At 55.6% G+C, this 23565-nt stretch overlaps 1 protein-coding gene and 1 long non-coding RNA gene across 8 annotated transcripts in view, besides 7 other annotated features; one reads left to right on the plus strand and one right to left on the minus strand.

Moving 5' to 3' along the window:
* LOC105371382 (uncharacterized) overlaps positions 1-19244 on the minus strand; it is a 26357-nt gene extending 7113 nt beyond the window's left edge. For both annotated transcript variants that reach the window (XR_933839.3, XR_002957894.2), the window contains exon 1: positions 19033-19244. This is a non-coding gene — a long non-coding RNA (uncharacterized LOC105371382). The remainder of the gene's footprint in view (positions 1-19032) is intronic.
* Positions 1870-1919: a silencer, noted in NCBI's record as "silent region_7800". NCBI's record gives its function as "represses an Ori minimal core promoter by ATAC-STARR-seq in GM12878 lymphoblastoid cells {active_cell/tissue: GM12878}" and the evidence as "EXISTENCE:reporter gene assay evidence [ECO:0000049][PMID:35858748]".
* Positions 1980-2099: a silencer, noted in NCBI's record as "silent region_7801". NCBI's record gives its function as "represses an Ori minimal core promoter by ATAC-STARR-seq in GM12878 lymphoblastoid cells {active_cell/tissue: GM12878}" and the evidence as "EXISTENCE:reporter gene assay evidence [ECO:0000049][PMID:35858748]".
* Positions 2370-2449: an enhancer, noted in NCBI's record as "active region_11264". NCBI's record gives its function as "activates an Ori minimal core promoter by ATAC-STARR-seq in GM12878 lymphoblastoid cells {active_cell/tissue: GM12878}" and the evidence as "EXISTENCE:reporter gene assay evidence [ECO:0000049][PMID:35858748]".
* Positions 3714-4214: an enhancer, noted in NCBI's record as "H3K4me1 hESC enhancer chr16:85187102-85187602 (GRCh37/hg19 assembly coordinates)". NCBI's record gives its function as "activates a minimal SCP1, AML or CMV promoter by ChIP-STARR-seq in naive H9 embryonic stem cells {active_cell/tissue: H9 hESC(naive)}" and the evidence as "EXISTENCE:reporter gene assay evidence [ECO:0000049][PMID:30033119]".
* Positions 10721-11015: a silencer, noted in NCBI's record as "tiled region #15454; K562 Repressive non-DNase unmatched - State 7:EnhWF". NCBI's record gives its function as "represses a minimal TATA promoter and a strong SV40 promoter by Sharpr-MPRA in K562 cells {active_cell/tissue: K562}" and the evidence as "EXISTENCE:reporter gene assay evidence [ECO:0000049][PMID:27701403]".
* GSE1 (Gse1 coiled-coil protein) overlaps positions 19730-23565 on the plus strand; it is a 506689-nt gene continuing 502853 nt past the window's right edge. For 3 of the 6 annotated variants that reach the window (XR_001751877.2, XM_047433837.1, XM_017023084.2), the window contains exon 1: positions 19730-22025. Coding sequence is in view for 5 of the 6 variants with exons in the window: in XM_047433837.1 (XP_047289793.1) it covers positions 19743-22025 (2283 nt within the window). In the remaining variant the exon portion in view is untranslated. The remainder of the gene's footprint in view (positions 22026-23565) is intronic. The other 3 variants (XM_005255859.6, XM_005255860.4, XM_005255861.6) reach the window with 1 other exon arrangement.
* Positions 21203-21912: an enhancer, noted in NCBI's record as "H3K27ac-H3K4me1 hESC enhancer chr16:85204591-85205300 (GRCh37/hg19 assembly coordinates)". NCBI's record gives its function as "activates a minimal SCP1, AML or CMV promoter by ChIP-STARR-seq in naive and primed H9 embryonic stem cells {active_cell/tissue: H9 hESC(naive and primed)}" and the evidence as "EXISTENCE:reporter gene assay evidence [ECO:0000049][PMID:30033119]".
* Positions 21913-22624: an enhancer, noted in NCBI's record as "H3K27ac-H3K4me1 hESC enhancer chr16:85205301-85206012 (GRCh37/hg19 assembly coordinates)". NCBI's record gives its function as "activates a minimal SCP1, AML or CMV promoter by ChIP-STARR-seq in naive H9 embryonic stem cells {active_cell/tissue: H9 hESC(naive)}" and the evidence as "EXISTENCE:reporter gene assay evidence [ECO:0000049][PMID:30033119]".

Consider the following 23565-nt stretch of genomic DNA (forward strand, 5'->3'; position numbering starts at 1 on the left):
CTGTTCTCCGTGCTCCCCATGCTCAGCCCCAGCTCTCTGGGCCATGTAGCCTGGGATTCCCTTTATTTCGCTTGGTGCCTGAGTGCAGCACTTGGAGTCCCGCCAGTGCTGGGCACGAAGTAAGTTCACCGGGAAACCTGGCGGCTGCTGACCGAGCTCTGTTGTCTCCCTGGACGGGGGCAGAGCTGTGTCTGGGAGGAGTTCTGTTCAGAACCCAAGCCACAGCCCACATGGCTGGGACTAGAAGCCAGGTCCCCACTGGACCTGCATCTGATCTGGCCCTGACTCTTCAGACCGGCAGTGTAAACGCCTCCACTCCTGGAGTCCACACCGCTGGGCCGAGGCAGCCTGGCAGCCCCTCCGAGGCCAAGCAGGGGCCACGTCCTGGTTATCAACCTTCCTCCCACAGCCTGCAGCTACCCCAAGCCCCCAGGTTGGCCACCAACTCTATCTACCTCACAGATGAGGGAAACTGAGGCTCAGAGAGGTGAAGTCCCTTGCCCTGGGTCTCGCAGCATGCGGGTGGCAGTCCTAGGATGCACACACAGGTCTTGGGTCCAAGCGTGTCCACTGGTGGGCTTCCTCACCACGCAGAGCCTCGCCCTGAGCGAATTTGGGTCAAAACGCAAGACACTGATGCTGGGATGTGTGGCCCTGGGAGCAGAAAGCTGGGGGCTGAGAGCTGGGGGCTGAGAGCTGGGGACTGCTGGGCCCTGGGGACGGCTAAGCTCTGGGTCACGGCTGGCAGGATGGCCCCGGAGGCTGTTCCTGCTGCTCCCCAAGAAGCAGCCAAGATGGGGTTGCAAGGGCTGCACGTGTGCACAGGGCCTGTGAGGGCTGGGGGCTCTGTGGGGGATACTGGGATCAGTTTGTATGTGTCTGTGTGTGTGTGTATGTGTCTGTGTGTGTGTGTGTCTGTGTGTGTGTGTGTGTCTGTGTGTGTGTGTGTGTAGCTGCATGTGTGTGCCTCTGTCTGTGTCTGTGTGTGTCTCTCTTTGGGTGTCTCTGTGTCTCTCTGATTCTGTGTGTGTCTGTCTCTTTGCATGTCTGTTTCTGTATCTCTGTGTGCCTCTGACACACTCTGTCTCTGTCTTTGTGTCTCTGTATTTCTCAGTGTCTCTCTGTATCCCTGTCTGTCTTTCTGGGCCCCTGTGTGTCTCTCCATCTCTGTATCTCTGTCTCTGTATCTGTCTCACAGCATCCTGTGTGTGTGTCTCTCTGTCTCTGTATCTCTGTCTCTGTATCTGTCTCACAGCATCCTCTGTGTGTGTCTCTCTGTCTCTGTATCTCGTTCTGTCTCTCTGCTCCCCACTCTGTGTGTCTCTTTGTGTCTCTCTGTCTCTGTATCTCGTTCTGTCTCTCTGCTCCCCGTTCTGTGTCTCTCTGTCTCTGTATCTCTGTCTCTGTATCTGTCTCACAGCATCCTGTGTGTGTGTCTGTCTCTGTATCTCATTCTGTCTCTCTGCTCCCCGCTCTGTGTGTGTCTCTCTGCGTGTCTCTCTGTCTCTGTATCTCGTTCTGTCTCTCTGCTCCCCGTTCTGTGTGTGTCTCTCTGTCTCTGTATCTCTGTCTCTGTATCTGTCTCACAGCATCCTGTGTGTGTCTCTCTGTCTCTGTATCTCGTTCTGTCTCTCTGCTCCCCGCTCTGTGTGTGTCTCTGCATCTCTATCTCCCTCCATCTCTGTGCATGGTCAGGTTCACAGCGTCCCTCTCCTGCCTCTGGGCTCCTGAGTGGCACAGTGAGAAGAAGGCCCCTCTCCGGGCAGATGGAATGAGGGGATGGGCCAGCCCTGACTCGGTGGCTCCTTCTGAGGCTGCTCTAGCACCTCCAGGCAGCAGGAAGAGGCGTTCAGGCCTTTCCCAGGACAAGGCCTACCCCGCTCCTGCCCAGGCAGCAGGCAGCAGGCAGCAGGCAGCGGCTGGCTCCATGCCTTCCAGCCTTCAGGATGAATTCCCTCCTCCTGGGAGAGGCCCCTGTTTCCTATCCCTGAGGAGCGCTGCCAGCTCTGCATGCCCTCGGGTTCTGCAGGAGTCCAGGCAACCTCTGGCTGGGAAGAGGCCTGGGCCCCACCTCCCTCAGTGGCCTGCCAGGCCCCACCCTCCCAGCCTCCCTCAGCAATCGCCCCCGCCCTCCTCTCCCCGGCTGGTCTGTGTTTCTTGGCCCCAGTTGAGATGAGTCACTGGGGAGCCCCTGACAGCTCTGAGGGTGGCAGCCCCCCGCAGGACCCAGGAAGTCAGAGTCCCCAGGGCAGCCAGGCCTGAGCTGGCCTCGAAGCCACCAGCCCACTCAGAACAACCGTCTGTAGGGCTCATCAGAAACACAAACAGCCCAGCGGGACAAACACGCTTGGAGTTGGCCACCCTGGGGCCACAGCCCAGCTGCCCCTGTCAGTGACAGGATGTCTCCAAGTTCAAGGCCATCATCTCCAGGTGGAGGTAAGAGCCCCAGCCCACCGGGATAGCCGGAAGGCTGAGGTCACAGAGAGGGCCCCATGCCCGGCACAGGTGTCTTCAATAACGTGAGTGCATGGCGCCCACTGGCCACCTCCACGTGAGCTGCGGGAACGCTCACTCCTCAACAGCAGTGCTCTGAGAAACACGCACACAACGTTCTTCCAGCTGATACTCGGAAAACCCAACATGTATTGCTGAGTTACTGGGTGTCCCAGGCTCTGCAGGCGCCAGAGAGTCCATCATGGTGGGCAGCTCCCACCCTGGAACCCCGCAAGGAAGTGACTCTCCCAGTGGATGCTTAGGCTGGTGTAAGGGAGATGCATGGTGGCAGGAGGAGAGGCTGGGTTCTCCCCACAGGCATCAGGCAGGGCTGGCTGCCTGGAGGAGGGGGCCTGTTAGGGTGCAGGCCTCGTGTGGTGGGTAGCGCAGGATGGAACATGCTGTACCCAAGGCTCCTGCCTGGCCCCCTGGGCTCCCTTTCCTGCCCCTGATGGTCCAGAAGCTGCGTGTGTCTCCCCAGCCTCGGCCTGAGGCCTGGCACCAGGTGTCAAACACCAGAGTCCTGGCAGCCGGAGGATGACAGCTGGGCCCCACCCCAGGGGACAGGCTCCAACACGTTCCCTGCAGGGCAGAGGCAGATTCAGGGAGGAGGGGGGGTAGGGGGTGGGGATGGCCGGCTGGGGATCAGACTGACCAGGTCCGAGTCTGGGCTTGTCCTGGGTGCACTGACAAATAACTCGCCACGTCTATTTCCTCACTGCAAAAGGCTGGTGGGTGGGCACGGGGGCTCACGCCTGTAATCCCAGCACTCTGGGAGGCTGAGATGGGAGGATCACTTGAGCCCAGGAGTTCGAGACCAGCCTGGGCAACATGGTGAAACCCTGTCATTACCAAAAAATACAAAAATCAGCCAGCTGTGGTGGCACACATCTGCAGTTGCAGCTACTAGGGGAGGCTGAGCTGGGAGAATCACCCGAGCCAGGGAAGTCGAGGCTGCAATGAGCTATGATTGCACCACGGCACTCCAGCCTGGGTGACAGAGCAAGACCCTATAAAAACAACAAACAACAACAACAACAACAGCTGTTGATGTTGATGGCGACTGCTCAAGGTTGTGTGAAAAAAATTAAAAGCACGTGACGCTGAGGTTGAATAAAAGGACTTTCTCATCAGACATCCGTGACATGGCCAAGCATGCTAGCTCCAAGAGGTCAGTGCTATTATTATTATTCCTGTTTTACAGATGAGGAAGCAGAGGCTCAGGGCGCAGCGAACATTCTCTCAGGTCATCAGCAGCAGAGCTGGGAAGCTCGTGCATGAAGTTTAGGTGTCTGTATAGACAGCTCCTCTTCTCACTGGATTTATAGGCTCCCCCTCCTTTCTGCAGAGGGCAGGGAGCTCATTCAATAAACAGAATCAATGAATGAATCAATGAACAGTTGCGCTGTGTGACCCCGGGCAAGCCTCCTCACTTCTCTGGGCCCGCATTTCCATTTGTCGGGTTAAGCCTGGGAGCGTTCAGCTCTAGAAAGCTTTTCAAGCCAAGGTCCAGGAACCCAGAGAAGCAAAAGGCAGCCTGGGGCCCCAGCAGGGGGACTTTCCAAGGTCCCTGGTCATTTTTAGCCTCCCTCCCTGGGGACAAGTGACCCACACTCTGTCCTCAGGCCTGGCTGCTCTCGGCAAGTTCTTTTTCTGGCTGTATGAACTCAGGCTGCGTGCACAGCCAAAGTTAAACTCAAGAGGGCTGGACACGTGGCTTGGGCGGGGAGCCGGGGCAGATGGCAGGCCACCTGTGGAAGGGATGGCTGCGAGTTGGCAACCCCCACCAGAGGCACCTCCACCGCCCCCCTCCTCCTGCCTACCTGCTGGCCTCACTTACTCCCTGTGTTCTGCACTGAGCCCCTGCAGCATCCATGGCAGGGGCTCTCACAGAGAGGGGACCAACTGAGGCTGGACAGGTGACGAGGGGACAGACATCCTCTTCAGAGCCTGGTTTGCAAAGGCTCAGGGCAGGGAAAGCAGAGCCCCAGCAGACCAAGGGGAAGGGGCTTGGACACCTCTCAGAGGAGACCCCAAGTGGGGCCATGGGTAGGTGCTGACCCCCATGTCCCCTGACACCCCATCCCACCTCGGTCCCTTAAAGATCCCACCAAATCTGTCCCTCGAAGGTGTCACTCACTAAATCTTTGGGCATTTAAAGACTTTTAAAGTCCTATTTTTGTTGTTGTTTTTCTGAGACAGGGTCTCGCTCTGCTGCCCAGGCTGGAGTGCAGTGGCGAGATCGTGGCTCACTGCAGCCTCAGCCTCCCTGGCTCAAGTGATTCTCCCTCCTCAGCCTCCCAAGTAACTGGAACCACAGGTGTGCAACACCCTGCCTGGCTAATTTTCTAATTTTTCTTTTGTAGAGATGGGGTCTCACTATGCTGATCAGGTTGGTCTCAAACTCCTGGCCTTAAGTGATCTTCCCGCCTTGGCCTCCCAGAGTGCTGGGATTACAGGTGTGAGCCACTGCACCTGACCTAAAACTCCTGTTGTTAAAAATAAATCAGATGAATAATATACATTCATGGTCCAAGGTGGAGGTTTTTGAAAATATCCACAGGCAAAAAGAGAAAAAGCACCATCTGTATTCCCAGGTAAATACACCTACTATCAGTCTTCCAGTATTTTTTTCTATGAAGACATATATAGTTTTTAAAAATCTTCCTTCTATTTAACAATATAAGGTTAACCTCCTTCCAGGTCAATACCTAGGTAACCAGAGCATGATTTTTTTTCATAGCATCACCTGGATGCCCACTTATTTAGGTAGGTATTTATTTATTTATTTTGAGACAGAGTTTTGCTCTTGTCGCCCAGGCTGGAGTGCAATGGCGTGATCTCTGCTCACTGCAGCCTCTGGCTCCTGGGTTCAAGAGATTCTCCCGCCTCAGCCTCCCGAGTAGCTGGGACTACAGGTGCCCGCCACTACGCTGGGCTAGTTTTTGTATTTTTAGTAGAGACCGGGTTTCACCATGTTGGCCAGGCTGATCTCAAACTCCTGACCTCAGGTGATCTGCCCACCTCAGCCTCTCAGAGTGCTAGGATTACAGGCGTGAGCCACGGTGCCCAGCCTGCATTGGATTTCATGAACATGTGGGGTTTCTGAGGTCCATGGACTACAGTTTGAAAAACAATAACATTAGAGACATCTCAAACAGCATCCCCCAAGAAGGGGAAGGAGCAGGAAGGTCTAACGGCTTGAGCTTGGGCTTGGCAGCCAGAGATCTAGGCCCAGTTCTGGCCTATCTCTCATGAGTGGAACCTCCCTAAACCTCAATGTCTTTATGTGAGATAGAACAAATTCTCTCCATGTTTGAATTCAATACATGAGCAAAACACCAGCAAAGATCCAGCAAATGTCAGCCCTGAAGACATCTGTCCACGTGGTTAAAATCGAATGCACCTCCATCACAGCAGAGGAGTTCCAGAACTCAGCATATTCTGTAGCATTAGAATTATAAAATGGTACCAGTGCCAAATCTTACATGACACCCCAGCGGGGCTGAGGCAGTTCCCTTAATCAACCACTGTTATATTTCTGTAGCGAAATACATGAATATTCATGCAGAGTACAGCAAGTGGAGGCTCCGATGAGCCTCAGGTCAGTTTTTTGCAGCCAAATGAGTGACACAAAAACTTGGTTTTTTTGAGCACTTGTGATTTTAGAACTGCAGGTAAGGGACAGAGCCCTATATAAAGATGTGGGCATCCAAACTGGGCCTGGTGGCTCCCGCCTGTAATCCCAGCACTTTGGGAGGCCGAGGCAGGTGGATCACCTGAGGTCAGGAGTTCGAGACCAGCCTGGCCATCACGGTAAAACCTCATCTTTACTAAAAATACAAAAATTAGCTGGGTGTGGTGGCGGGTGCCTGTAGTCCCAGCTACTCAGGAGGCTGAGGCAGGAGAATCACTTGAACCCAGTGCGTGGCAGTCTGGGTGACAGAACAAGACTCCGTCTCAAAAACAAACAAACAAACACACAACAAAAAACAAAACAAAAAAATCAGTGCAGACTTTGAGGCCCCAGTCTGGCCTCCTGACCTGATCGCTGGGGAGCCACAGGCATCAGCTTGTTAATAGGCTCACGGTGATTCTGCGTGCTTTTTAGTTTGAGATTCTCTGTCCAGGGTCCCAGGACTGGGGTGAAGGGAAATGTTGTTCCAACTTCTTCTGGACTTGAACTTAGGGGCTCCAGGATCTCACTTTTTGCCTCTACCCCCTGCTGCCAGGAGCACGTCAACCTTAACTGTCACCCTGGGAGCCCCGTCTCTCTGAGGCAGCCACAGGGCTGTCAGGCATGTCCTGTTGGCCAAAAAGCCATGGCTGGGAGTGGCCTCTCCAAAGCCAGTCATTAATCTTGGTTAACGCAAGGGAATTGCACCTCAGTTCAGATATTACCTTCCCTGCCCACTCCCTTCTCAGAGCCTGACCTTTCTGCATATTTTGCGGAACACAGCACGAAGTTCCCACGTGAGCACTGACATTCCCTGGCCCTCTGCTGCTCCGCAAAGGGCAGTTGTGCTTTTTATCTTAAATCAGTCTGCCTGTCTTCTCTCCCTGCCTTTTTTTCCAGGAGTAAATCCTTCCTTCCTCCCATCCATATACCCACCAACCCATCTTAATCCATCCATCTGTTCTCTTTCTATCCATCCATCCATCCATCCTTTCTCCATCCATCCATCCATTCACCCATTCATCCATCTATCCATTTACCCACCAAACCTTCTATCCCAAACTCATCCATCTATCCACTCATCATTCATTCACCTACCCACCAAACCATCCCTCCACCAAACAATCAATTTGTCAATCCATTCATCCTTCATTTCTCTTGCCTTCCATCCATTCATCCATCTACCTATCCATCCACCCACCCAGCCATCATCTGTCCATCCATCTATCCATCCATCCACCCATATTCATTCACCCACTCACCAAACCATCCATCAATCCATCCATCCTTCATTTCTCTTTCCTTCCATCCATCCATGCTTCCATCTGTCTACCCATCCACCCACCCAACCATCATCCACTCATCCATCTATCCTATCCACCTATCCATTCTGGTGCCCAAGACAGGTGCCCATAAATCTAATCAAATGAGTGAATGATGAGTCTCTCCAAGCAATTTATTTAGTAACCTTATGAGAAAGGGAAAAAGATTCCCCTGGAGCAAGTGGCTTTGGTGGAACGCGTCCCTCCCAGCTCTCCTCATGCATTCATTTGCCCATTATTCAGCACATGTTTACTGAGTGCCCCCTAAGTGGCAGACATCACCTCGGTTCTGGTGCTGGAGATACACAGTTGAGCAAAAACAGATGCCTGGGCCTCGCCCTCATGAAACTTACAAATGTGAGGGGGGACAGATGTTAGCCAAGTAGCCACGCTCATGAAGCCATAATTACAAACAGCAATTACAAGCGGTGCCCACACAGTGCCCAGAAAGAAAAGAAATCACTCAGAATATCACAGAGGTTTCCGAGCCAGGCCCCGGGGCCAGGGAGGACTCCTGCGAGATCTGGATGGTCATGCAGAGGCCAACGCTGGTCAAGGAAAAGGGCACCTGAGCCAGGTGAGTCAAGAGAGGAATCCAACAAAGAGAACGGGCTGCAAAAGCGGTGAAGAAGCTGCAAGAGCAAGCAGGGAAGTGAGGCTGACTCGTGACGAAGAACAGCAGGAAGCTGCTGTCACCCCTGGGCAGGACAGGGGAGGAGGATGGAGTTACTAGAGCTGCTGCCGGAACCACAGAGATCTGGCCACTTGCAGAGACACTGCCCAAGCAGAGAGAGAGAGAGAGAGAGAGAGAAAGAGAGAGGGAGTGAGAGGAGGGCTTCTCCCTCCCCTGGCCCTCTAGTCTCCCTCAAGTGCCTCTCAAGGACTGTCCCTAATGGGAAGTCAGAGGCAAGGAAGCCTGGGAAATGTAGTTTGCAGGGTCAGCCTGCAGAGCAGAAGGGTGAGGAATGGGGTATGCCTGGGACAGGCAGGAATTCATCAGGCACAGAGGGGAGGGGCGCAAGTTCCAGGCAACGGAAGCAGCACATACAAGGACCCTGTGGTGCAACGTGCCTGGTGCCTCTTAGGAAGGCCAAGGCACCAGGAGGGTGCAGGGTCCCGAGAGGCCTCAGGGTCTCCAGGAGACCTGGGCAGGGCCAGCAAACAGGGATTCTGACCTTTAACCTGAAAGCTCTGAACGCTGAGAAGGATTTTAAGCAAGAGGGAGACCACAACCAGACTTGCGCTTTTGAAAAGACCGTGCTGGCTGCTGGGTGGAGAACAGACGGACGGGGGCCCCCAGAGGGGAAGCAGGTTGGAGGTTGGGGCTGCCCCGCCAAGCCCCTCCCCCAGCTCCCCAGCTTCCGGCCCAGGCCGGGGACCTCCGATTGTCCCCACCCTCTGGTCTCAGACCCCCATGGCAGGAGGGGAGCTCCAGCTTCTCCTAAGGAGACCCCCACTTTCTTGATCACCTGCTTCCCCCTTTCAGATGGCAGTCCTGGCTCCACCCCCCAATGAGGCCCCAGCTCGGCCCACACCACCCTGCCCACCTCCTTACCCTCTGCTAAGCCCCCCCAGCGGCCCACACCCTGGGCTGGAGTGCCAGCCACCGCGGCACCTGTCCATGGCTGTTTTCCACTGCTCCAGCAGCTCAGCTTTCAGCTCTGATAAATATTAACGGCCACGTAGGGTCGAGGGGGGCCCCACGGAGAGATAGTCTTTCTGGAAGGCACATCAGGGTGCCCAGTCACAGTCGCAACGGGACACCCGGGCCTGACTCCCAGCCTCCTCGCCTGCCCCCACCCCATCCCACTGGGCGCCAAGCCTGGGAGCCCCACAATCAGACTTTCTCTGGTTTTCTCTTAATGCCAGAGCTCAACTTCCCTTGAGTGAAACCTCGGGCTTCCAAGGAAGAAATGGAGTCAGGAAGAAGTTCTTGAATGACTGACTGAGGGCCCCTTGGCCTCATAACCACAAATCACCCTTTTCCAAAGGGGTAGAAGGAGCTTTAGGCTGGGAGTCAGGAATGCCGAGTTCTAGCTGGACTTTGTGTGACCTTGGTCAAGTCAGGGCTGTCCTGGGCCTTGGACTCTCAAATTCAGGGGGTGGGCTGGAGCACATCCAATGCCTCAACTCTCTCTAAAAATTCAGGCTTTGGAAGGCAGGCACTTCTGGAAGGTGGGAGCCATTTCAGGGAGCCAGGTGGGGGGTGCTGGTGGTGGGGAGATGAACCTTTGAGCAGCGTTTACTGTGTTCGAGGCCCTTTGGCATTTGATCTCTTGACAAGGGGGTGTCACGGGCATGGTTGTTGCGACACACCCACGTGGAGTAAGGAAATGTGGCTCGCAAGTTCAGCCACTTAGCAGGGGCCACACTGATAATAAATGGCAGGGTTGAATTTCCATCTAGATTTTGAAATCTAGAGCAAAGTAGTACAGTACTCAGTGTGGTCTCTGGAGCCAGACAGCCCGGGGTTGAAATCCCAGCTCTGTCTGTTAGAAGCTATGTGATCCTGGCCAAATAGCTTAGCCTCTCTGTGCTTCTGTTTCCTCATCTGTGAAGTGCAAATAATACTTGTGCACCCACCTCATCGGGCACTGAAAGGCTGAAATGGGATGACGTGTGCAGATTTAGCTCAGCTAGCTAAGGGCTCGGGATTGCTGTATTGATTAAGTCTCACTCGAAGACACATGTGCTTGCCACTGTGTCGGCCTGCTGCTTGTTTGCTTGGACTCTGTGCGGTGTGTATATACATATATATATATATATATATTTTTTTTTTTTTTTTTTTTTTTTTTTTTTGAGACAGTTTCGGTCTCTCGCCCAGGCTGGAGCGCAGTGGCACAATCTCCGCTCACTGCAAGCTCCGCCTCCTGGGTTCACACCATTCTCTTGCGTCAGCCTCCCGAGTAGCTGGGACTACAGGCGCCTGCCACCAGGCCTGGCTAATTTTTTGTATTTTTAGTAGAGACGGGGTTTCACCGTGTTAGCCAGGATAGTCTCAATCTCCTGACCTCGTGATCTGCCCACCTCGGCCTCCCAAAGTGCTGGGATTACAGGCATGAGCCACAGCGCACGGCCGGACTCTGCACAGTATTTGAACCCAGAAGTCCCCCGGAAGAAATGCACATTGAACCCAGGCCCGGTGGAGTCAGGACCCAAAATCACAGGCGATTGATCTCGGGGACTGTAAGCCACTGTTCCTGGTGAGCACTGTCCTTCAGACAGCTGGAATGTTCTAAATCATTCTAAGACCCAGGCAGATTGGAATTTAAAAATGTATTTCCCCTTTTAGAGTGAGCCATGCCTAAGTATTTCTGGCCTGTGAAAGGAACACAGTTTCAGAGCCAGGGCAGAAAAACCATGTGTGCTCACAAAACCCAACCCAAATCTTGGCCATGAAGACCGTTTCCTCTGTAGCTTGTACGGACTTCATTGCAGCTGCTCTGGAAGGCAGGGGGTGCCCTGTAAGAAGCCGCCCAGGGGGTTGGGCTGGTGGGTGAGCAGCTGAGGGGAGGAGTCAGGAAGGGCGGAGTCTGGGAACCAGGGAGCCTTGGGAATTCCATAGGCCTATGAATGTGATTTAAAACATCTCAGTATGCATTAAAGTCAAATATACACTGACCCCATGGTTAGCAGTTCGACTCCTAGGTATTTACTCAACAGAAATGCATTACGTATTTTTGCTTTTAGAGGTTTCTTTGCAGGCAGCTTCTCACTCTGTCACCCAGGCTGGAACACAGTGGCACGATCATAGCTCTCTGCAGCCTCGAACTCCTGGGCTCAAGCAGTCTTCCTGCCTCAGTCTCCCCAGTACCTGGGATTACAGGCATTCGCCACCATGACCAGCTAATTTTTTTGTTTTTGAGATGGAGTCTCGCTCTGTTGCCCAGGCTGGAGTGCAGTGGCTGCGATCTCGGCTCACTGCAACCTCCGCCTCTTGGGTTCAAGCAATTCTCTGCCTCAGCCTCCCAAGTAGCTGGGATTACTGGTGCCCACTACCACACCTGGCTAATTTTTGTATTTTTAGTAGAGACGGGCTTTCACCATCTTGGCCAGGCTGGTCTTGAACTCCTGACCTCATAATCCATCCACGTTGGCCTCCCAAAGTGCTGGGATTACAGGCGTGAGCCACCGCGCCCAGCCTGACCAGTTAATTTTTAATTTTGCAGAAATGAGGTCTCACTATAGTGCCCAGACTGGTCTCGAACACCTAGGCTCAAGCCATCCTCCTGCCTCAACCTCCCAAAGTGCTGAGATTACAGATGCGAGCCACCACACCCAGGCTGCATTTTGTGTTTTCAACCAAAGACATGAAATAGAATGTTCAGAAAAACACAATCATGTAAGTCCCAAATGCAAACTCCCCAAAAGCTCACCAATGGCGGAATGGATGAACAAATGACGGAATATTCATCCATAGACTACTATACAGCAATCAAAAAGAACAATGTACTGCTTCAGGAAAAAACAGGGAAGAATTGCACAGATCTAATGCAGAGCAAAAAGCCAGACCCGAAGGGTACATATGATACACTTCCACTTAGCAAAGGTACAAAAACAGCCTGTGCGGACATGGGCTACAACGTGAAGGTCTGAAAACATTATGCTGGGTGAAAGAAGCCAGTCACAAAAGACCACGTGTTGTATGATCCCATTTATACGAACTGTCCGGAACACGCAAATCCACAGAGACAGAAAGTAGATTATTGATTGCCAGGGAGCGGGTGGGGGTGCGCTGGAGGTGTTGAGGGTGAGAACTAAAGGGTATGAGGTTTCTTTTTGGGGGTGATGAAAATGTTCTAAAATGGATTGTGGTGATGGCTGAAAACTCTGTAAATATACTAAAAGCCATTGAATTGTACACTTTAAATGGGCGGATTGTGTGGTATTTGAATGATATCTTAATAAAGCTGCTAAAAAATAAAATGTTCTTGGTGTTAGAAATCAAGATGCCTGCAGTCCTGGCTCAAGTCGTTACCCTTGCGGGTAGGTGAGGGTCTGGAAGCAGGTACATGGGGGCCTACTGGGAGTCTGGACATGCCTTCTTTCTGGGTGCTAGTTACACAGATATGTTCTGTTTGTGAAAATGCAGCTTGCTGTACACGTATGAAGATGCACACTTTTCTGTACGGAGGCGACACTTCAGTGTAAAAAGGTTTTTTAAAAATGACACCCCAGTGTAGCGTCAGACACATGCCTCAGTCCCACCTCACGTCCCCATCCGTGAGTCCAGCAACGACCCACCAGCCGCATAAATCAGAGGCCAGGGAAGTCGAGCTGGCGGCTGGGTTTGGAACATGCTTCGGTGACTCAGAGCAGCAGCTGGAAATAATCTGCTGCTGTTGACTTCACCGCCCTCCTGTTCGGCAGCTCGGGGGACCTGCCACGGCCCACTGAGTATTCCAGTGCCAGAGAGCTGGGGAAACCTGTCCTGAAGTTGGCGGCCGCTGATGAAGCCATAGGCAGGACTCGAAGGCCTGCAGCGAGGCCTGACCATCAGCCTCCCTGGCAGGACCCCTTGAGGGACAAGGACGCCTCTAGCAGGAAGGATCTGGGAAGGTGGCCCAACAGGCCAGGAGCTGAGCACACAGCAGGGCGGATGAGAGTGAGGCGCTCCGGCCAGATCGGGTCTCAGTCCAGCTTTAACACTTCCCAGCTCTGACACTGGGGACATGGATTTGCTGTTCCAAGCCTCAGTGTCCTTGTCTGTAAGAGTGTAATCGTGCCTACTTTTTAGGCTGTTGAGAGAGCCAGATGGGATAATAATATGACTATCAGCTGTGAACATGGTACCTGGCTTCTAGTTAAACATCAGCTATTGTCATTGCAGGATGTACGCTGATTACTACTGAGCACCGACTGTATGCCGGGTGCCTTCGTGGCACTTCTCGGTTGCACGCTGGTTAGTATTGAGCACCGACTGCATGCCGGGTGCCCTCACGGCACTTCTCGGTTGCACGCTGGTTAGTATTGGGCGCCGACTGCATGCCGGGTGCCCTCACGGCACTTCTCGGTTGCACGCTGGTTAGTATTGGGCGCCGACTGCATGCCGGGTGCCCTCATGGCACTTCTCGGTTGCACGCTGGTTAGTATTGGGCGCCGACTGCATGCCGGGTGCCCTCATGGCACTTCTCGGTTGCTCTGGCTTCTGTCTCCCTTTGCTTGTGCCCCCACCCCGCCCACTGTGCCCCACCAAGAAACCTCCGTGGCTGGGAAGCTTGGGGACAAACCACATAAATGGCTGCTGTGAATTTCATGCTGCAAATCAGGGGCCTGTTGAGATGCCGGCGGCAAGGGAGTCTTTGAGTCCACTCCAGATTTATGTGAGTGTTTGTCCCATCATCCCCAGTGGCAGGTCAGCTCCAGCAATCATTTATCAAAAGGGTTTATGAGGCCCTGAAGTTCATGGCAATATCCTTGGATTTCAAGATGGTGAGGGCTGGGGTGGGGGATGATGTCTCCTGGAGGGGGAGACTGGGCTATTCTCTGCTGGATTCTTTTTCAGGCTTAGGGGAGCAAGGTGAGGTTTTAGAGCACCCGATTCTGCTCTGTGAATCTGTAGCCCGTGCTCTGACACTTAATTGTGTAATGCAAACCGTCATTGTTTAAAAAGGCACTTTGCAGTTTACAGAATGTTTCTGCCTAGGTTGTCTCAGGCCCCGGGATAGAAAATGGCCCACCCACTTCCATGCTCAGAAACTCCTGTATTTAAAAAGGCAACAAGGCTGGGCGCGGTGGCTCATGTCTATAATTCCAGCACTTTGGGAGGCCAAGGCGGGTGGATCACTTGAGGTCAGGAGTTCAAGACCAGCCTGGCCAACATGGTGAAACTCTGTCTCTACTAAAAATACACAAATTAGCTGGGTGTGGTGGCGTGTCCTTGTAGTCCCAGCTACTTGGGAGGCTGAGGCAGGAGACTTGCTTGGATCTGGGAGGCAGAGATTGTGATGAGCTGGGATTGCACCACTGCACTCCAGCCTGGGTGACAGTGAGGCTCCGTCTCAAAAATAAATAAATAAATAAAAATAAAATAAAAAATGAAAAGGCAACAAGATGCTAAGACACGGCTACAAAACATGCTGTATGTGTTTCATGTTTATATTTAACAAATTAGCACAATAAATGCACAGAAAATGCAACAAAATTTCATCAGCCCCAAAGCTGGCAACTTATCCTGATTCCAAGAATGGTTCCCCTGGGGAAATCCCTGCTTCTTGGAGCCTCAGTTTCTCTGTCTTTAAAATGGATGTGATGCCTCCATGTACTGCTGTGTCACATGAGTGCATGGAGGTGAACCGGTTCATAAGCCCAAGGCCTCCACAAATCCCAGGGATTTTTCGTTGTTAACAGTTACATTCTTTCCCTCTGAGAAGGAGGATATATTTTTGCCAGTGGCCTGCCATGTCTGAAGCTCTTTCTGAGGATAGCAGAGAAGGGCTTGCTTCGTTCTTAGGCAAAAAGAATAAAAAAGAATTTAAAAAAAAAGAAAAAGAAAAAAAGAAAGAAAAAAGAAAAAATAGGGCAGTCAGATGATAAATTTTGTTTTTCTGGTCCCCAGTGAGCCAGAGGCCAAACACAGCACACGTTGTCTCTGAAAAGAAGAGGATGGACCAGCCTAAGAAGGTAAATGGGTCCTGGGCGGGATGCCAAAGGCGCAGGCATAGTTTAGAGGAAGGAGGAAAAGGGCAAAAGGCCCACTGAGGAGGGAAGTCGGGTTGCAGGGTTGGGAAAAGCCAGGGGCACGTGACAGAGCTTAATCTTGATTGCTGGCACTCAAGAGGAATAAAAGATGGCGCAGCAGAAGCTGGCCAGGCAGCTGGATGATTCTGGAACTTGGAAGGCATAATGAGTGAGGTTTTGGATAGAGTCTAGCGGCGTCCCTGGTTCAAGCACTGATTGGTCCCCAACCATGTCCACATCCTTGTGAAACTGTGGGGCAGGGCAAGGCAAGCCAGCTCAGGCTCTGCCCCAGTAGGAGAGGCAGGCAAAGAGACAGAGATACAAAACAACGTGTGGTTAAGCATTTGGAGGCTGGAAATGAGTTCTCCTGGGCAGGATGAGGGCAGATACCTGCGGTTTCTGGGCTAAGACGAACCTACAGGTAGCTGCAAATCTGAGATGTGCCCAGGTGTTCCATGCTGACGGCCTCCTTGTCTCCTGCAGAATCCAGGTGGGCATTTTTTACCTGCTCCCAATGCAAGGTCTGTCTGTGAGCATCTGTCAATTCTTTTAAAGTCCTACAATTGAAAGATGAAGAGCCGGGCTGTGCAGTGTGTGGTCTGGAGGGAGCCTGGCACCCTCTCTCCAGCTGCAGGGTGAGGTGTAGGACTTAGAGGGAAGCCAGGAGATGGCTCTGCTGGGGATGGTCAGGCTGTGGCCCCAGCAGCACTTGGCAGGGATGTTTGGATGGCTTAGTCCTGTTGGAGCCTTTTGCCCATTTCCATTAGAAACGGGGACTTCAAGTCTACGTTGGTGCATGAAGTTCATGCCAATGCACCCTGACATTTCTTCTCATCTCCTGGCACAAACTTGGCCCGTTTTGTACCCAGACAGGCACGTTTGAGGGCCTGTTTCCTTTGGCATGAAACTGGGGACACATGTGAGGAGAGGGGGGACCAGATTCTAGGCTGTTCCTGTCCTAGCATTGCAGGATTGAAGAGAAAGTGAATCTCACTAGCCAGCAAAGCAGAGGGTTTCAGAGGCATGCGGCCGGGGTGCCAGTCCCAACTCCACCACGCTGTGTGACCCTGGGCCTGTGACTTCCCTCCCCTATGCCCCAGTCTCCTCACCCCTAAACTTGCGGGTACAGCACCACCTACCTCGTGGGCTTTGGGGAAAGATTTGATGAGTTGGCACCTGCAAAGCATAGGTCCTGGTGTGTGCTTCACACTGAATGGGTGTGCTGTGTGTTTAATGTCTACACATGCTGTGTGTGCTTATATCACTGTTTTTCTGCATCCCAGTGCAATGTACTTTACCAGCATTGGCTCAGTTCACCCTCTTTGCGCACTGTCAAGTTGGCTCTGCTTTACAGATGGGGAAACTGAGGCTCAGAGACCTAAACGAGCAAGCCGAAAGCCACACAGCTAGTAAACGGTTGTGTGATGTCAGTCTGCTGTGTCAAGCTGTGGCAGTGGCCCTGCCCCCATGTCATCCCCCCAGAGGAGCAGCCATCATCACCGGCCTCCTCCTCTGATTTGTGTTCACCCTGCTTCCTGGCTCCCAAGACGTGTTCCAGGGGACTTTCCTGAGTCATTGGGTCATTGAAGAGAAGAAAAACATTCAGCTGGACGCCTCCCACTCCCACTCCTGGCCCGCTTGACATGCACACACAGGCACACACACAGAAACACACAGGTGAACTCATACACACATGCTCACACACAGGGTGCACATACAAACTATGCACATGTACACACACACATATAATCTAACAAATGCAGAATCATGCACATTCAGATACGCGCACACTCACACCTGCATATGTATGGTGCAATACCTCCTGGAGGATTCCGGCTCAGCCAAGAAAACCCTAGCTCTCTCTTTTGGTCTGGTTGGCCCCGTGATCCTTCTCCCTCAGACTCTGTGTGAACTCAGCACAGTGGCCCTCCCTGCCGCCCTGCAGTGTGCCCTGCAGTGCGGACAGGCGGCAGGAGAACCTCTTCATCCACTGGAAAGAGGAAGAGGCAACACACGTACACGGTCACCTATAGCATGCCAGAGCCCATGCCTGTGCCCAAATCCCTATTTATTTAACAACCCCCATTGTACGGAGCAGAAAACCGAGGGGTGGTGTGCCAGGAAGTCCACCCAAGGCTCACACAGCTGGCAAGGGACAGAACAGGATGGAGACCCAGGTGTGTGGGACCAAGGCACTGAGCCAGGCCCCAGATCTCCAGTGAGCAAGACAGACCTAGCTCCTGCCCTTGAGAGGGAGCACCCAGGATTCCGGGGCGGGGCAGACAGGAGCAGGGGACGGAAAAATCAATAAAATCAATGGCAAACTCCTGCGCTGGGGAGCTGGGATGAGAAGCGCGGAACAGCACCTGCTCTAGAGAGGAAAGGGAGGCCTCTGAGGATGATGCTGTGACCATGGCCATACAGATGAGCCCAAAATGCATTTGAAGCAGAAGGGACAGCACGTGCCGAGCCCTAAGGAACCCATGTTTAACTCACCCGCTGACCTGCATGTCCCCAGCCGGGCAGTGTCTTACTAGCAACCTCTCGGTCTGTGTGGGACCTAATAGTCCCTCTTTAACTGTGCAAGGATGCAATTCAACAGACATTGTCCTTTAAACTTTTCCTAATCAGCCCTCCTCCTCTCTCCAGGTATTAAAAATGCCAGGAGCCGAGAAGCCCCCTGCCCCGCTCCCAACATTCCTTCAGGACAGTTTTGCTGACACAGCATTCCTCTGGGCCAGGGTGAAGGCCCAAAGTCCCAACCAATGATGATTTCCTGTTAACCCTTGGACTAAGGGTTGAGCCCTGGAATATCCCCCAGGGATTCCGGAGGCCTTCTTCTTGCGTTTGTTTACAATGCATGGCCCTCTTCCTTGCCAAGAGGAAGCCCAGTTTTATTTACATTTCAGTGTCCCAGAGGGTGGAGGGGACCACCGGGCACCTTTGTCCCCAGGCTGATTCTGGGCTGCTGCTTGCAAATGAGGAAGCTCTAAACTGCCCAGAAGTCAGACACTAGTAGAATTTTGAAGCTGGAAGGGGTGCCATTTCACAGATGGGGAATGAGAGGTCTGGAGATGCCTAGATTGGACCAGGGCCTGAGCCAGATCATCCGGGAGGATCCAGGGATCCTGGCCTTGTCCTGCCATGGACGGTCCCGTCCCCATCAGCAGACTGGCGACGTGGACCAGACGTTTGCCTCGCACGGCTACTCGCCCTGGTGGTCAAGAGTAGGGCCTGGAGCCCGACGTCCTGGGTCTGAATTCTGCTTAGCCCCTTTGGACGAAAACTTAACACTCAATGCCACTTCTTTCCTGTATGTGAAATGGGGCTGATCACCACAGTTAACCCTAAGCGCCTCGCACCGCAAGTCCCTCTGCTTGTTAAATAAATACAATGGATCTCTACACATGCACAATAAAGACACGGAAACAGTTAATCCCCTGCTGCAGCTCCTGTTGAAGGGAATAAAATCAGGACCCAGAGAGGTTGATTCACTGACCTTGGGACACACAGGACCCTTTCTACCTCTGCTGGTGACCCAGTGACCCCTGTCGATGGTGGGAAGGGGCAGAGCAGGCCTCAGACTGTCCGCAGGATGATGCATTCACTAACGGGTTCTAGGAGACGGGGACGGCTCCTCTTTTCTCTCTCCAAAATTAGAACGCGGGGCCCTGAATGGTATCCCCAACTCGGGCCTGTTCGGGACTGTAAATGGCTTTCTCGCTTGGTCCCCCCTTTTGAGAGGGTCGGACAACCCTGAACGAACCCGGCAGGGTGCCTGCATCTAGGCTGGGGCTGCCCTCACTGCAGCCCTGGGGTGGGGGGTTCCTCCGCCTCCAGGGGCGCCCGCAGCGTCCTTACCTGGCTCCTCCCGCGTCCTGATTGACCTTTACTTAAAGACCAGCTCCAGCCGCTGATGGGTTTCGGCGGGTCCCCCAGGAGACCCTTCAGACGGCTAGAGCCGGGCGCGCTGCAGAGAGCCCCTAATTGGGGCAATGAATCATCGCGCGCGGCTCCGGCTGGACACAAAATAGATAGAGGAGCCGGCCGCTATTGTGCGCAGTTTGGGACGCGGGGGGAGGCGGCGGCGGGCGGGAGGGAGGCAGGCTTGGAGGAGGAGGGCGGGGGGAGGGAGCGCGCGGGGAGGGATTCCCCCGCCCGCCGCGCGCCCGCCCTCCGCCCCTCCCCGCCCCTCCCGCCCGCCGCCGCCCCGCCCCCTCCTCCCCAATTAAATGACCCCACGCCTTGGCAGGCGCCGGAGCTCGCACATGCGGCTGCCGCTCCAGCCGCCCGGGCCCCGCCGCCGCCGCCGCCGCCGCCGCCGCCGCCGCCGCGTTCCGGGCGCGCTCGCCGCGGCGCCGCCTCGGCCCGCGCCGCCGCCGGGGGGTGCTCGGCAGGCCCGGGGGGGCGCCGCTGCGAGGGGCCGTGCGCCCGCGCCCGCGCCGGCCGCCCGCCGCCAAACTTTGCGGCGCGCACACATGCTCCAAGTTGGGCGCGGCGGCGGCGGCCTGGGCGGGAGCTGAGGGCGGCCCGGGGCGCGCGGGGGCCCGGGCGGGCGGCGCGGCGCGGCCATGAGCGGGCGGCCGGCCCCGGTCTCCCGCAAGCAGCGGCTCATGGCAGCCGTGGGCGAGCGGGCTGCGGGCGGCGCGCCGCTCTCCTGCTTCATCTGCGGCGGCGGCATCGGGCGCGGCAAGGAGCTGAAGCTGCAGGTGAAGCAGCCGGCGGCGGGCGCGGGGACCCCGGCGCAGCCCTTCTTCCCGTTCCTGCAGCAGCAGGAGCCGGCGCCCGGCGCGCGCGAGCTGTCCCCGGCCGACGGCTGCGTGTTGGTGTGCGCCGTGTGCCGCTGCTTCCTGGGCGAGCAGTGGGCCGCCTTCGAGCGCGCCCGCACGCCGGTGGACAAGCGCATGTACTGGCTCAAGCGGCCCCACCAGTGCGACGCGGGCGCAGGCGGCCGCCGTGGCGGCGCCGGGGCCCCCCGCGAGTGGAACGTCGCCTACGCGCTGGGCAGCGCCACCGGCGACGACGACGAGGACGACGGTGGCGGCCCCCGGCTGCGCGGGGCCGCGGAGGAGACGCGAGACTCCGACCTGTCGGAGCTGTCGGACACCGACCCCCTTTCCGAGCCCGACCCGCCCGCGCGGGACGCCGCCAGCCCCCACCAGGACGGGGCCCCAGGGCCAGGGCCTCGCGGGGGGCGCGGCCAGGAGTGGAGGCCGGCTCCGGGACCCGCTCCGGGACAGGGCGCAGAGGCCTCGGCGCAGGGGCGCGCGGAGGAGGAGGGGCTCCCCGCGAAGGCCCACGCGGATGGGGAGCCCAAGTCCGGGGTTAGGCGCCGGCGGAAGGGGGTTGGGAGGCACTGGGTTCCCGAGGCCCGGGCCAGCGTCCTGAGGAGCATTCAGGATCCCTGGCAAGGCCCTCTTGTCCAAGAGGCCCCTGCAGACGGCATGAAAGGGCCTCCCTCTGGCAGAGCCACTAAGACCCTGGAGAGCAGGCCGCTGGGGGAGACCCTACGGGGCTTCTGCACCTCCGAGGACAGTGACATCAACATCACCAGTGGGGAAGAGGACCACAAGGAACAGCCTTTCCCAGGCGTCTGCAACCCCAAAGAGAAGAACAGTGGCCGTGTCCCCCGGGCTCTCCAGGACAGCCGGGCGGCACCAGCAGAAGGCCTTTGCTGCTACATCTGCGGGGCCCCGCTGTCCCCGGCCTCGCACCACCAGGTCCACGTGCAGAAGCAGGAGAAGCTGGCTCAGGCCCCGTTCTTCCCCTTCCTGTGGCTGCACAGCCCGCCCCCAGGGGCACAGCCCATCAGCGAGGGCGGCAGTACCTTGGTGTGCGCCAGCTGCTTCTCCTCCCTCACGCAGCAGTGGCAGAGCTTCGAGCTGGCCAACGTGCCAGTCCTGCAGCGACTCTATGTGGTGCCCCTGGACAGCCACGCCCCCGGCATGGCCTCTAAGGGCAGGAGGCTCCCGAGGGAAGAGGGCCTGCCCTCCGGGGCCCTGCGAGAGGCCTGCTACCTCTGTGGGGAGGACTGTACCCCGGATGCCCGGGCGGTCCCCTCCAGGATCCTCAACGGCAACGCCAGGAGCGCCATGCATTTCCCCTTCCTCAGCCTCCTGCCCTGCCCGCCCAACGCCCAGGGCCCCAACAAGCGCTGTGAAGTCCGCAGCTGCCCCAAGTGCTTCAGCGTCCTGGAGGATGTCTGGGCCCTGTACCGGGCCTGCCAGAACGAGGAGCTCATCACCTCCGTGCAGGGCTTCCTGGGCAGGTACCACCAGGCCTTCTCCGCCTCCGACCCTGCCCTCTCCGAGCTGCCGGCGTCGGCCCAGGGCGGCCCCGTGTCCATCTGCTACATCTGTGGGGCTGAGCTGGGCCCCGGGAAGGAGTTCCAGCTCAACGTGAACCCCGCCAGCCGCTTGGGCGAGAAGGAGCCCTTCTTCCCCTTCCTCACCGTGTACCCGCCTGCCCCTCGTGCCAGGCCTGTGGACTCCACCGGCCTGGTGGCTACCTGTGTGCTCTGCTACCATGACCTGCTGGCCCAGTGGCTGCAGCATGAGGCCCGCAGCTCCCACCACGCTGTCAGCGCCTGGTCCCGGCAGTACCAGGTGGAGACGTTCGTGTGCTTCTTTTGTCAGCAGGAGAAGAAACGGTGTCTGGGGCTGAAGTCCGTGCGGGTGGCCCGGCTGCCCCTGTTCCTATACACCCTGCGAGCAAGCCACAGCCTGTTGGTGGATGACGGACAGCAGCTGATCATCGGTGCTTGCGTGGAGTGTGGGACCCTGGTGTGTGCGGGCCAAGGGCTCACCCGCCAAGGACCCATGAGCTGGAGCTCCCCGGTGGCAGCAGCGACGAAGGTAAGCAGCAGTTTTCATCTCATCTTAGACGCTTCCTCCAAAATCCATTCAGGGAAGGGAGAGATGTTTTCTGTTCCTCAGAAAAACTCTGAAGGAGGAGTTTTCACTGGTTCTGTGCGGGGTGTTCCGGGGGAGGTACCCTCCCTGAGTCACTGGGCTGGTGCTTGGTGGGTACGTTGGCCTGGCTGACCTTGGAGGCATGGGGCAGGGGTCAGAGGAGTGGGGATCAGGAGTGGTCTTAGGGAAGAATAGGGCACTGCTGAGAACAGCAGGCACGGGCCTGAACTTGGGTGTGTTTGCAGTGGGATCTATCAAACAGAGGAAGTTCGGGGCATGTCTGTCATCCGCCTGATAACATTGGTAATTAGTCCAGCCGTGCGGGTCACAGAGAGGTCTCCGTGCTCACCCGGTTTGAAACACATCAGAGGTGGAAGTTCCTCTCCGTTCTAGCTCCCGTGTGGCTTGGCTTTTCCAGAGTTTTCCACCTAAGTTCACACTGTTCTTTTGAGACCGTGCTTGCTTTACGGCGGAGGGAAATAGGGTTCCAGACATGGGGGTGTGGAATTTGAGGGACAGTGGCCTAAACAGACTTTTCCCCCAGCGGGAAGAGAGTCTTTCCTCTCTGCAAGTCAGCTGTGCAGGAGGCAGACGGGAGGCCTGGCACTCTCCCTGTTTATAAGGCGCCTGCCTTCCTGCTGCCCGCCCGCGAGGAGCCAGACGGGGCTCAGTTAATTTGGGATCCGGCTTTGCAAGGGACCAAGCAGGAACTGCCCCCGGTGGGTCTGGGGAGGTAGATGTAGGCGTCTGTGAGTGGCAGTCACCAACCCGGCCACCGGGGCATGGATGCTCATTTCTGCCAAAGACAGTCAGTGCGACTTGTTTTAATCAAACGCCTGTAGTGGCAGCTGCTGGCCATGTGTGGGCAGAGGGACGTGTGGATGGGAAAGGTGGCGCTGTCGTGTTCAGAAAGGGTCATTCCACCCTTTGAAAGCTTCCTGATCCTGCCTCCCACCTGCACGTGTGGGGCACGGAGGTGGACTATCTGGGGGACATGTTCACTTACAGTGGCTGCACCCGGGAAGTGCGCTCTGCCATGATTTGCCCACCTCTCCCCCGATACGCGGCCCCTGTCTTCATGCTCTACTCAGATTTCCTTTTCTACTGATGACAGCTTTGGACTTTCAAGCTGTCTTTGTGGCTTTGGTGGGATGGTCTCTCGTTTTAATTGGATGAGCACGTCGTCTCCCGTCACAGATGCTGAAGCTCTCCTCTTCGGCATATAGCAGTGCAGCCCCTGGGAGTCAGAAGAGCTGCAGTTCCCAAAAGGGCTGAAACTGGGAGAAGAGAACAAGTTTTGGAGCAAGACTGACCCCAGTTCATTTGTTCCTTACCATGGCGCTGCGAGGCCTTCTCATCTCATTTTATAGATGAGTCAACCAAGACTCAGATAAGTCAGACAACACTCAGTCAGTAGGTATCTGAGGCAGATTTCGAAATTCTGCCCTTTCTCTTGCTAAGTACCTGTGAGTTAGTTTCTTAT

The sequence above is a fragment of the Homo sapiens genome, chromosome 16, assembly GCF_000001405.40.
Source record: "Homo sapiens chromosome 16, GRCh38.p14 Primary Assembly".
In the NCBI taxonomy this organism is placed as follows: Eukaryota; Metazoa; Chordata; class Mammalia; order Primates; family Hominidae; genus Homo; species Homo sapiens.